The 13,693-nt window shown below is 37.4% G+C and overlaps 2 protein-coding genes across 51 annotated transcripts in view; one reads left to right on the forward strand and one right to left on the reverse strand.

Annotated features, from left to right (window-relative positions):
- Positions 1–10,252, forward strand: part of CAST (calpastatin) — an 813,255-nt gene extending 803,003 nt beyond the window's left edge. For 28 of the 34 annotated variants that reach the window (NM_001423254.1, NM_001423253.1, NM_001423255.1 and 25 more), the window contains 7 exons: positions 790–894; positions 1,622–1,714; positions 3,007–3,051; positions 3,476–3,568; positions 6,100–6,171; positions 7,213–7,271; positions 8,209–10,252. In NM_001423254.1, the coding sequence (NP_001410183.1) occupies positions 790–894; positions 1,622–1,714; positions 3,007–3,051; positions 3,476–3,568; positions 6,100–6,171; positions 7,213–7,248 (444 nt within the window). In that variant the 3' untranslated portion in view covers positions 7,249–7,271; positions 8,209–10,252. The remainder of the gene's footprint in view (positions 1–789; positions 895–1,621; positions 1,715–3,006; positions 3,052–3,475; positions 3,569–6,099; positions 6,172–7,212; positions 7,272–8,208) is intronic. The other 6 variants (NM_001423259.1, NM_001330627.2, NM_001330632.2 and 3 more) reach the window with 2 other exon arrangements.
- Positions 1–13,693, reverse strand: part of ERAP1 (endoplasmic reticulum aminopeptidase 1) — a 175,042-nt gene that overhangs the window by 3,619 nt on the left and 157,730 nt on the right. For 9 of the 17 annotated variants that reach the window (XM_017009581.2, XM_011543485.3, XM_011543484.3 and 6 more), the window contains 2 exons: positions 11,973–12,120; positions 3,367–4,000 (listed from right to left, as the gene is read on the reverse strand). In XM_017009581.2, the coding sequence (XP_016865070.1) occupies positions 3,963–4,000; positions 11,973–12,120 (186 nt within the window). In that variant the 3' untranslated portion in view covers positions 3,367–3,962. Of the gene's footprint in view, positions 1–3,366; positions 4,001–10,052; positions 12,121–13,693 lie in introns of those variants that run through there. The other 8 variants (XM_047417310.1, XM_047417309.1, XM_047417308.1 and 5 more) reach the window with 2 other exon arrangements.

Consider the following 13,693-nt stretch of genomic DNA (forward strand, 5'->3'; position numbering starts at 1 on the left):
TTTTCCTCTAGAATACCAGCTCCCATTTCTGCAATTTCACTTCCATGAGCTTCCTGAAGATGAAAAGAGAGGTTTCCCCACCAGTTCAGAAATTCTCTGAAGTCTTTCAGGGCACTCATCACCAGTGTGGCAGACAAGCCCCTTCCACTCTCCTGACCCCAGATTGTCTCTGGGGTTTTGTGCTTTAGGAAGTATTAGGATGGCAGTGCCGAGCTCCATGGCTTCCCACAAACTGCGGGTCACGCTGCACTTTCTGAAATGCACCCCTCAAGATCTTAGAGTTTTAGAGAGGACCCACAGAACCAAAGAAACACTTACCCTCTATAGTTGCAGAATCTTGCTTCCTAACCATCTGACAACATTAGTAGATGTTTGTTTTCATATCCAGTTTTCTAATGGTGTTTAATTTCTAAATGAAAGGCACACATGATTGGTTCATTTGCTTTTGGACCCTTTATGTGACCTCCAGGTCACCCACTGGATATGGCTCCTGAGGCTGCCACTAAGACCTCCTTAACCTGGTGGGATCTTCACCAAGAGATGGGCAGGGTTGGGTGGAAGGTGCTGGCCCTCCAACCCCAGTAGGGTGACAGATACTGCCGCTCTTCTCCTGATCTTCCATTCCTAGGCTTCTCTTCTCTGACCCTGTCTACTCCCCTGCCCCAGCCCCAGATGTCTTTTTCTTCCAAGGAAACAGGTTCCCTCCTGAAAAGATGGAGTTCCTGGGCTAATTTGCCTCTGATACAGTTTGGCTAATGAGTGACTAATTCAGCATTATTTACTTTTCAGCAGAGTGACAAAGACCTCGATGATGCCTTGGATAAACTCTCTGACAGTCTAGGACAAAGGCAGCCTGACCCAGATGAGAACAAACCAATGGAAGATAAAGTAAAGGTAAAAAAAAAAAAAAAAAAAAAAAAAATTCACTAATAGTGAAATTTTAATCCTTGGGTCTTGACTCTGTCATTGTCATAGGAATATTGATGTGAACTTAACCTATATTTTAAACATGAAATTATAATGAAATAGAAAAATCAATCTGTACTCCACTGGAGGGGAAGGTCACTGAATCTGTGACAGAGATACCAGCGGAGCCTCCCTGAGGGGATTCTGGGAGGTAGGTGTGGGGTATGCATGGCTTCCTCCCATGCAACACAAGCAGTCAGCACATCCATTCAAATTAGCTGTTGTCCTTCAGGGTTGCTTATAAATAGGCAAAGTTGTAAATGTGACCTCTCTAAATGGCAAGGTACAGTGGCCTGATTTTGTATTAGAAAAGTGAAACCATACAGAAAAAAAGAAAAAGATATTTTATACCTTTGGGTTCTAATCTCCTAACATGGTTTCTGAAGATAATTATTTAATCATTTATTTCCATTTAAAATATAGCTAGAAAATTCACAGATATGAATTGACATACAGAAGCATACGGGATTTTATATTTTAGCCAACTAGCAGTCTGTTGAAGTCATCTGTGTTGTTCTGTTGCTTAAAAAATAAAAACAGACCATATGTTTTGCCTCATGAAAGTACAACAAATGCTGAATGCTGCATTTGACAATGTATTTTCTAAGTGAAAGAGGAAATGAATATTAATTCTATCTGCTCACTGTTGATATAGGAAAAAGCTAAAGCTGAACATAGAGACAAGCTTGGAGAAAGAGATGACACTATCCCACCTGAATACAGACATCTCCTGGATGATAATGGACAGGTAAACTGAGGCAAATTGCTAGATCGGATTTATGCTACCAAGATCTTTAAATTCAAACCTCCCTTGAAATAAATAGTAGCTATACTCCTTTACAATAGCATAAAACATACCATGACTGACTGCTTCTAATGTGTCACCAAAGCCGACCAGCAGGTAAATATTTATTTGAGCCAATATCATTATATATGCATATGCTAGGCTCTGTGGTATAAACAGGGTTGAATACTGTTCAGTCACTCACAGATGCTTAAGAGTGATCCAAGAAATGTGATTCTCTCTTTCAAGAAAAGGCTATAAAAATGACTAAGGTGATAGGATTTCAAAGGAAGCAATCTCTGTTTAAGGAGAGCAGAAAAGGAGCTGGTGTTGGGATAATTAATAGGGAAAATTAATAAGGCAGCTCCAAGACCTGGGGTCTCCCTATCTTCTCCTGCATCATCATCAGCACTATTGCAAGTGAAGACAGGCAAAGCAATATTCCCAATCACAAATCCTGTTTCTCTGCCAAAAAGTCCCTGGCCTTTTGTCTCCCACATGATAGAGGCCAGTCTTTCGTAGGTCAACCAGGCCTGTCCCCCACCTCTTTCCTATTTAGTTTCTAATTTTTGAGTCAATTAGATGATAAATAACCCTTTCCATGCCTGTTCATCAAATAAGAAACAAGGAAGACCAAATTACACCCTTCTCTTTCTGTACTGATTCATTTTGGTGAGTAAGATGATTCCTGGTTTAAATAGCAGTGTCAGCTTCAGGGTCTCCTATTACAGGAACCAATTCTCCTTGCTTGCATTCAGTATTCCTCAAGATAGCAATTCCACATCCTGCTAGAGCCCTTCCCACTTTGATAGTACCAACTCACCCTGCTTGCGTTCTTTGGGAAATTTATTATTTAAGGCCCTTGCCTTTGAAGCTGGGAAAAATCCCTGATGACTTTCTAAGTGTAATAAGCTATAGTAAATAAGATGTAAAAACACAAGTAACTTTTTATAACACTTTAAGTAGAATTATAAGTGATAATACATGATGGCAGAAGGTTCACAAATAGTGTTTCTTTCACTTCCAGGACCAGACCCTTTCATATGTTTCCCCCAAGTCTACACAAATGATTATAAAGAATAGTAATTAAGCAAAGCTGGTAAAGAAATAGTGGGGACTCAGGTTTATTAGTTATTGCAAGTCTACACTCCATTTTATCCAAGTCAAGTCATGGGACAATAGATTCTCTACTGCCTAAACCTAAGTAAACCTTTACAGATATCTATGCTTAACCAATAGTCTGCCTTCTTTTTAAGGACAAACCAGTGAAGCCACCTACAAAGAAATCAGAGGATTCAAAGGTAAAGACCATAGGAACATATTTCCATTAAATTTTGTTTTATTCTAGCCATAGGGGTATTTGGCATTTTAGAAAACTAAAACATATTGAATGCCTACTCTGTGCCTGGTACTTTGTCAAAGCATGCATATAAATGTGTGTGACTATTGTTTACCTCTCTTTTAGTCTTCACAAAAGCCCTTTAGGGTGGAAAACTGAGGCTCAGAGAATGCTAAGCAACGTGTATTAAAGAGTAGATGGAAAAAAAGCCATCAAGATTTTCTTGTTTTTCTATCTCCTTTACAATACATTATTATTAATAAAGAATGTCAGTCAGTTTTTTTCTTATAGAAACATCTTTTATTTGTAAGTGATGTGGGAAAAGACCCCATATTGCATTTTGCCTTCTGCTTCTTCACTGATGGTTATTTCTACTCATATCTCAGAAACCTGCAGATGACCAAGACCCCATTGATGCTCTCTCAGGAGATCTGGACAGCTGTCCCTCCACTACAGAAACCTCACAGAACACAGCAAAGGTACTGTGCTTTTTCACATTTCACTCTTTGAAATGTGTGTGTGTGTATGTGTACATACATATAAGTTTTATTTATTGATTGATCTATCTATCGGTCTGTCTTGTAACAGGGTCTTACTCTATAGCCCAGGCTGGAGTGCAGTGGTGTGATCTCAGCTTACTGCGATCTCTGCTTCCTGGGCTCAAGCAATCCTCCTACCTTAGCTTCCTGAGTAGCTGGGACTACAGGCGTGCACCACCACACCCAGCTAATTTTTGTATTTTTTTGTAGAGAGGGGGTTTCGCCATGTTGCCAGGCTGGTCTCGAGCTCTTGGGCTCAAGTGATCTGCCAACCTCTACCTCCCAAAGTACTGGGATTACAGGCTTGAGCCACTGCGCCTGGCCCTTACAATTTTTAAACTGTAGAATGAATCAAACGATGATATAGAGAACCTGAAAATGAAGAAAAGAAAAAATGCCTATAATTCCACTGCCCCCAAAACAGTATTATTTTGTGGATTTCCTTTTTTTTCTATATGTATATTTTACATAATTATACTTACAGTCCACTTATAAAACACTGCTTAACGTTATTTCTTAACTGCTACTTTGTAATTTCCATAGCCACCATTTTTTATCTCCACACTATATGGTTGTGCCACAATAATGCTATGTCTGTGTTCATTTAAAGTGAGAGCAGGCCCTAACTACATCAGGCACTCTCATGCTCATTTGCTCTCTGGAGCTTCCTCCCCTTTTCTGTCTGCTTAGCCCAACTGGTCTACTCTTCATTCCTCAGGGCACAGCTCAAGCATCAGCTCCTTAGGGAAGACTTTCTTGTCTTACATCTTCTCCCTTCCCAGTCCAAAGTTAGAGGCCTCTCTTCCATGCCCTCCTTGCTCTCTGTTACCTCTCTGTGCTTGTGTATCACACCACTGAGCTACGCATTTCATACAGTAGTGATGTGTCTTTTACCTCTGTGCTCCTCATTAGCAAAATGCCTGGTACTTAGCAGGTGCTCAAAACGTGATTAAAAGTGAATGAGAAACAACTGTGTAATTCAACAAGTGTGAGGCATTTTCCCTCAAGCTACACCCTCTTGTAAATCAAATAGAAGGAAACGTGAAATGAGTACCTCCTTGTTATTTTCAGGAGAGTTAATTCTGCAGATCTCAGTTTGCTATTGTTTTGGCTGTTCTAAGGCACTGCTCTCGATCACTGAATTGTCAGCCCTTCCATACTGGGTAGCTTAATTTCTAGACCACTTCAGCATCCTATCTCTCACCCCTGGTAACTCGTAAGTAATGCCTTTTTTGGTGAATGGACTTTATTTTTATACGTAACCTGCTCCAGCTTTCCTCGGTTGTTTCCCATTGTTCATTTCTCTCCCATAACACTGAAAACAGGGTTTTTTTTTGTTTTTTTTTTTTTGCCTTTTGGTACACAAAAGCCAGTCCTGATCGAGACAAGCTCTATTTTGTTTTTTAAATACATTTTATTGTGTATATTTGAGGTTTACAACATGGTAGTTTGGGATGCATAGAAATAATAAAATGGTTACTGTAGGGAAGCAGATTTACATATCTATCATTCTCACACAACTACTTTTTGTGACAAAAGCAGCTAAAATCTACTTAGTTAACAAAATCCCTAATACAATTTTATTAACCTTAGTCCTCATGTTATACATTAACTCTCTACACTTGTTCATTCTGCATATCTGCTATTTTGTATCCTTTGACCTATATCTCTGTTTCCTCCTCCTGTTCCCTACCATGGTCGCCATGTTTTATTCTCTGTGTTTTTGAGCTTTTTCTTTTATATATATTCTACATATAAGTGAAATCACTTTTCTTTCTGTGTCTGGCTTATATCATCTAGTATAAGGTCTTCCAGGTCCATCCATGTTGTGACAAATAGTAGGATATCGTTTTTTAAGGCTGAATAATATTCCATTATGTATATATACATGACATTTTCTTTATCCATTCATCAACAACTAGGTTGTTCCATATCTTGGCTATTGTGAGTAATGTTGCAGTGAATATGGGAGTGCAGATATCTTTATAAGGTGATAATTTCATCTCCTTTGGGTATATACCCAGAAGAGGGATTACTGGGTCATACAGTAGTTCTACTTTTAATTTCTTTAGGAACCTATATACTGTTTTCCATCATAGCCCATACCAATCTACATCCCCACTGACAGTGTACTAGGGTTCCCTTTTCTCCACACCCTTGCCGACATTTATTATCTATTGACAAGCTCTGTTTTGATTAGCAAAATAAGGTCTGGGTGAGTCAGGCACCACGGGAATTAGAGCATCAATGTCACCCACATTTCCCTCCTTATTTCTATCCTTTTTCCCTCCTGCTTTAAACAATTCTCTGACACCGTTGTTCAAAAAAAATCATGAAAAAACACCCAAAGTCTTCCATTATTTAATTAAATTGGAGATCTCAGAATGGTCTGGATTAATTTAACTGCAGCCTAGTTAATTGCTAGATGGATTGGTGATAGCCATAGCCTCATTACATTTCCTTTGCTTTAGGATAAGTGCAAGAAGGCTGCTTCCAGCTCCAAAGCACCTAAGAATGGAGGTAAAGCGAAGGATTCAGCAAAGGTAAATGGAGCAGTAAATATACTACAAATTAGTTTAGCAGTTACACAGAGTAGGGTTTATCATTTCAGTCATTTAGTTTCCTACTGGAATCTATTTAGAATAAAATTTCTTAAAGTACTATCTATCCCATAGCATCGCTTGGTAAAGTAATTGAATTTGTATAAATACATATATTTTTAAGTAACTGGTGCTTTAAAATCCTAAATGAATGTTCTTGACACAACCCAATTTGCCTGTGTTTTGCCTGTCTTTCTTGCCCTAATTAAAATACCACCATAGTATGTGGTTTATATAGATTTTAGAACATGGAAGTTGGAAACTTCCTATTATTAAAATTACTCAAGCTGTGATGAGAAATGAAAATTGGATTAGACAACTTCTAGGTCCCTTCCAATTCCAAGAACATATGATTTAAATGATTATTACTATGATCCCCTGGCTATAAGGAGGAGTTAAAGGTGTAGCTTTAAAGACAATAGTCCAGTTACACCAAAGCTTTTAAAACAATATATTAAAATCTTCCTGTAGTAGATTCCCTTAAGGGATATAGGAAACAGCATTGATAATTGGCAGTTATGCCATTATATCTCAGTTTAAATACTTATTTGCCTATTATTTAATTTCAGTTATACGAAGTACTTAATCAGCCCTTTAACAAATAATAGAAAGCATAATAACCCTTTATGATGAGTGGATTTACTGGACAGCCATGACCCTATGTACAGGAAAGGAAGGATCACCACAGAATGAAACATTGCCATTTAAGAACACCTATGCATATTTTATAACCTACCCTAGCCTTAAAAAAATAAAGCTGAGAGTGATACATTTAGGATCAGGATCACTTAAGGTTATTTTTAGCTTATAAGCTTGAGGAGGAAGAACTCACAATATTGTGGCCAGATGAAGAAGAGAAACTGAAAGGACCATCTTATTTTTCCCCACTGACTGCCATCTTTTGTCCCCTAATTCTGAGAAGGCCATCTCCTCATACTTAATACAGAAAAGAAAGCTCACGGATGGTTTTGCTTTCCCTTTTAGACAACAGAGGAAACTTCCAAGCCAAAAGATGACTAAAGAAATACAAGTTAAGGTATCTGGTAAGTTGGGTGTTTATTTGTAAATGAAGACAACTGTATCTTCTGCCAATTTATGTGTTATAGATGAGAGAAGTGAAGTCCACCTCTTGAGTAATTCATGCTCACTTTACAGTATTGGCATGAAATGCATACTGCAAGATCTACAGAGTAATTGGTCATTCTCTGAAAGCACTAAATGGGATGAGTTTGCTATTGAAATGTTTAAAAACCTTAATCTTATAATTAAAAGCTTTTAAAAATATTAGGCCAGGCACTTAGAATGACCATCTGAGGCTAGTTGAATCTTTGAAATCCAAATGCTCATTACTGCAGGTTATTGTGGCAAAGCAAAATTAGCATGTTACAACTTAGCGAAATGTCCTGAAGACATTGGCATTCCCCAGAATACCAATACATGGTGGGGTGGGGAGAAGTACCCTTTAGAGTCTGGTGGAAATTACAGGGTTTTGGGAACAAGGGCAAAGGAAAAGATTGGCCATTTTTATTTGTCATTATTTTGGAAAGTAAAGTACTGTGTTTGATTCTAATTTATAATTGCTGAAGAAACTGGACAGATTGAAGGGATTTCTGAGATCTTCAGAACTGGGCCCTTATCTTAATCTTCAGAAAGGAGAGGGCTTAATGTAAGCCTTAAAAGCATACAAGCACTTACTGACCAAAGCCTAAAAGAAATCAAAGTATAGGTTAAATCGGGTTCAGCTCTCTCACCATGATCCATGTTTATTTCCTAGGAAAAAAGGAGCTATATTAGGTAGAACTGCTCTAACATTTTTCCCAAAATTAAAAAAAATTCTATTAATCCACTTTCATGTTTACTTATAGGAAATTCCTTCTGTCTGTTATACAATGCTTTTGCTAAGTGGTATATTTACTATGTCTGTAACAAGAAAATTACATATTAAATGATTCACTGCATTTTTTATTTGAAATTTTTAAGGTATCTGCATGTAAAATCTTCAGCTGGTGGATGGTGACTTTTGAAGAACAAAAGGCTTTGGCAACAGAAAACAATTGTTCTGGGTGATTTCTAGAATGGTTTTTGTTGAGTCTCTGAACATCCTAAATATTGGTTTGTTATTCTTTTCCAGAAAGAAAATGAATTTGACTGGTTCACCTGTGTACTGAGTATTGATAAACTTTGAATTTTTTTAATTGCCTTCAATTGGGAGAGAAAGCTTTATATTTGTAAGAAATATATTTGATAAAGTTTCTTAAAGCAACACCAAAAAAACAAAAGAAAAGCTAAGTGAATTTTTGCACATTCTACACACAGTGCCTGTAAATCTCATTTGTATTTTCAGTTTGCCCTTAATTTTTTTTGTTAGTGTTTAGAAAACAATGTTTTAAACATTCTTCAGTGTTCTGATTTCTTATTACCCCCTTTCCTCTTGGGCTTTTGAACTGTATTTGATGTTGCTTTGGGATAATGTTTATAAGTCAAACATAAGATATTGTACATTGGGCACATATCTCCTCTTGGGCTGCTAATAATAAATTAATAACAGGTAACCTGGACAAACCAGGAAGCACCAAACCCCTTTTCAGTTTGAACTCTTCTTTGCCAGGTGTGAGGACTTCTGCATCTTACAGTCAGCACAGAACACACTGAGACTTGAATCAAGTCAGCAACAGAGCAAAATAAAGGTTAGATAAGTCCTTGTGTAGCAAATTTCGAGCATAAGAAATAAAATCTAATTAATTCTTAGGGTACTCATCTGACTTGAACTCTGTTGGTTTACTGTGTTAGTAAACTGTGCTTTCTATTATCTATACATAAAACCTGAGCAGCAACTGTGTCTTTAGAGCTATTGCCACATTAGCCTTTGCACTGTATAGCGTCTGGCTTTATGGAACTTAAGTTTACCAAATATAAAAAGAAACTTCTGCTTTTAAAAAAATTATATATATATATTAAATTTGAAACCTGCATTTCTCCCACAGCAATGTAAGAAGTAGGCTCTGATGTCCTACCACTTTGAATGGTTTTCTAATATCTTAATGAATAGTTCCTGAACATTGCACTGATATCATCGATTAGAATTTTGATATTTAATTTCATCTTTATTTCCTGGTAGAGAATGCAGGAAAAGATGTCAGGTACATAACATAAAACAGATTGGGAATTTATTGTTTCCAAAGGGCATGGCCTTCCTTAGCATCAGTTTGAAGCTTTTGTTATGACTTAGCTGACTTGTGGCAGCGGGGCAAGCAAAAACAATAACACTGCTTATAAATGGCACCACATCTTGTTAACCTCCCCCCCAAATACTCTCTGAAAGTCATGCACATACCTATGGGATTTTACACACCACCAGCTTAAAATGCTATGTCTCTATCCATCAGAAATAGTCATTATTCTATTTTTAAGGCAGCAACAAGAAAAGAAAAAACACTTTTCCTGAGGGATTTCTAACCATGTATCTAATCCTCCCATTTGGGCAGTATAGGTGTTTGCTTTTTTGTTTTCTTTTTTTAAGAAAAACCTTGAAACCTTTGACACTGACAGATGTGTTTGCAAGGATACGGCTTCAGTATTACTAATTTCCATGTGTATCTGGAAGTATTTTTAAATGGCATACCAAAATCCAGAAGTTTAAAGATGCCTATAAAAGTAAACAACATTTATTTAAAAAGAACTCTGAATATGCCTTCTTTTTTAATTAGAAATATCTTCGAGACTTGGGTGTTTGTTAATAACTAATAACTGGAGTAAGCTACAGGATCTAAAGCAGCCCTTTTTACAGTCTAGTTAGGAGAGAGAAAATAATTGCAAATATCCACTTAGAGGCAAAGAACAATTTTTTATTATCAAAAAGGTTTCTGCACATTGTTGTGGCAATATTGTATCTGTTTAGAAAATGGGCTTTTCCAAAAGCAAACAAAGATAGGTTCCTCAGGTGACCAAAACTGAAAATCAATATTTCCATGTTTCATTAATCAAGGCATAAAATACAATTAAAGCAAAATATTTTACATTAAAATCTTGGTTGTGTATTTTTTTAAAAGAAGGGAAATAGTTTAGTTTGGGGTGGAAATTACCAGTGATTTCTATTTTTATTAAACCATTCACTACAACAAATAAGTATAAAAATTCCAATTCCACTTTTATACCTATTTATTTGTTGTAGTGAATGGTTTAATAAATGGCAGATTTATGTCCAGAAGTCACTCTATTTTGTCGTGTATTAGGGGAACACATTTTGACATTTTTCGTACCAATCATCAATCATATTCCCTTATCTTGAAGTTTTTGCCTTATATTCAAAAAGTTCAGTTTGAATTCTCCTTTGCCAGGTGTGAGGATTTCCGCACCTTAGAGTCAGCGCAAAACACGCTGCAACTTGAATCAAGTCAGCAACAGAGCACACTATGGGTTAGATAAGTCCCTGTGTAGCAAGTTTTCAGAATAAGAAATAAAATCTAATTCTTAGGGTATTAACTGACTTGACTTGAACTCCGTTGGTTTACCATGTTAGTAAACTGTGCTTTCTATTATTATCATCTATACATAAAACCTGAGCAGCAACTGTGTGCTGAAGCAACCGTGTGTGAAGTCTTCACAAAAGAAAGAAAGACTTCAAAGCCAAAGAATGTCCTATTTGCTAATATGAGCAAATATTTTGTTTCACAATGTACTATCATTTATTGGTGACTGCAATAATTTACTGTCAGTAAATGCCAATAACTAGTTAGTTAGAAATTGTAAAGTAGGCCAAATAAGAAGCAGAGAGAGAAAAAAAATCACCTCCCTAAGAAAAGGGTTTTCCTACAGACTTGAATGCACTCTGCTTTTTCAGAAGAGATACTGTACCAGTCAGGGAAATAGATGACACTCACTCAGAATTATCTGAGGAGGGTTCTATAAAAAGATTTTTTGCAAAAGTGCGAGCACATTATGTAGAAACCACAAGTCCGCCAGGACTAGTAAAAGCCAGACTCCCACTGAGGCCACTAATCCTGAAGGGATGAGGAGGGAGCAGTTACCAAAATCCAGAGGTGGAGAAGGCTGTGTGGAAAAGAGGGTCCCCTCTCGGAGCTAAGACCCTCAGGGGAGGCCAGCCCGAGGCATCCCGCAAGGGAATCAGGGAAGAACACCTCCACCTACTACCTCCTCCGACCCCAGCTCCAGCTCTCCGGCTCCCCACTGACCAACATCCAAAGGGCAAGAAAGCTTGATGACTTGGCCTTTACAAGTCAGCCCCTGGGCATGGAGCAAGGAAGAGGGATGGGCAGCGGGTCTGGAGGGGTGAGCCGGGAGAGCTTTAACCCAGTCATCGTCCGGCTTAGTCTCAGATCCAGGTGTTCATTGTTCAGTAGTCGACTATTCAGAGTCTTTCGAGGAGACTGATGAAACAGTTTATGAATGATAAACATGGGGTACAGGGTTTTGGACACGGGTGCTTAAGCATAAACTATAAAATGAGAAGAATAAGGTACTTTATTCTTCTGTGGCAGGGAACCCAACACTTGGGTTTACGTTGCAGGGCAACACCTGTGATGAACAAAACACATGGTAGCGATAGCCCATTCATGAAAAACTAACAGCTATTCTTTTCACAGGGATAGTCAAAAAATGAGTTGAAGGGAAAAAAGTATCTCCAGTTGGAGCCAAAACAGCCATCTCTAGTTTGAAAATACACTCAACAAAATGTTGGTGATTAGAGATAACAGGAACCTGGCAAGGGAGGAATTTTTACATACGTTCAAGCTTTTCACTTTGCAGCCACACTCTGATTTTATCAAAATTCTTATCCATCCAACCGATGTTTTCTTCAATGGTTTCAATTGTCTGTTGGACACAACGGAGCTGAGAACCATTTTCTTTCAAAGAGCTGAAGAATCCTTTTACCTTGTGAGGAAAAAGTGGGTTTTAAAAAATTAATTTTATCACATTAATCAGATGTAACTTTAGTTAAAACTGAAGCCAAAATTCCAGCATTTGTCAAAATTCTATATAGAAGGCAGTCCCAGCTGTCTGAATAGGATTATGTACACATAAGCTGTATGAAATGAGCTCATGCCTCATGATGTCAAGTTCTGTTTTTTGTCTGCAGTTCTTTTGTTTATTCTCAGTTGCCAGACTTTAAAAGACTTCACTGTTTACCATTTTATAATTAAGGTTTAATTGTGTCTATTTAATGTGTTATTCTGTTCTGTTCTCACAGATGCAAACTTCGTTTTTTAAAAACATGATATCTAAAAAGCAGAATGTGCAGAGTCTTTTCTTTGCCAAGCAAAACAGTTTCCACCACGTAAGTGCTGTCTTTCTCCATGGGCCTGGCCTTGTATGTTATTATAGAAACACTGTGGGGAATGGGATTCTTAGCAAGTTATGGCGGTAAGACCCAAACCTTGCCATTTTTTTTATCCTAATCTACAATTCATGTATTGTTGTCTCAAGATAAAATCCACATAAAGTTCCCCATGATTTTAAAGAGATAAGAAACTCTTGGCTACCTCCTGAAAAATATGTTTGTTCTTGTTTCATTTGTGGGTATCTTAATTCACCCCTTGAGCTCACATGACAGATAGGCTGGCTTTGCCACAAGATTGACCATTGTGCGATTCTGTTTCACCTTAAAGGGTTATTATCCTTTTCCCATAAATTTTCACAGCATTAATCCATCAATTTTTGATTTGGTATTCAGGAAGCGAATGTAGACCATGATGTATTATTTATTCAGCATAGATTCCAGACAGCCAGTTCCTTAGAAATCCATGTCATAATACCATATTATTAGTTTGGGAATAAAGAGGGGAGTAGGAATGGGTTTTAGAAAGATCAGAATTCAATTTTAAATGATGCAGAGTTGTTTTAAAATTATATGTCAATACAGTGCAACTTTACAATGAGCAGAAGGCATGGCCTCCTGCTGTAGCAACCTGGAAAACACTTCACTCTCTACTTTAAGTTGTAGCTCAACCTACTGTTTCATACGCTCTCAGAATGCAAGATTAATTCACAGTCGATTAAAAATCACTGAGCACTACTCAACAAAGCACATCAATAATTTTACTAATTGTTCAAATCATTAATCCTAAAGGAGCTCATCATGATAGCTCCACTAAAAACAGACCTTCTACAACAGCGAAGCCAGCTGTTAACCATTACTCTTACCCTTGTCCTGACCCAAAATCATCTCTTCTGTCTTCACCTGCCTTGGAAATGCAACATCTCCACTGAATATTTGATTCAGACTTGGCTCTTTAAGAACAATTTCTGTGCAATAAGTAGCACAATACAGGGATAGGAAAACAGGTTTATCCTACTAACTTGATTTGAGCAAATGATTTAACTTCTATGGAAGCCAGTCTCCTCATTTGTAAAATGAAGAGCAGTGGTGAAGGATGTAGTTATATAATGCAGGTAAAGTGCAAAGCCCCAAACCCAGCATGTATCAGGGACTTAACCTCATCCATTT

Source organism: Homo sapiens, chromosome 5 (genome assembly GCF_000001405.40).
Source record: "Homo sapiens chromosome 5, GRCh38.p14 Primary Assembly".
NCBI lineage: Eukaryota > Metazoa > Chordata > Mammalia > Primates > Hominidae > Homo > Homo sapiens.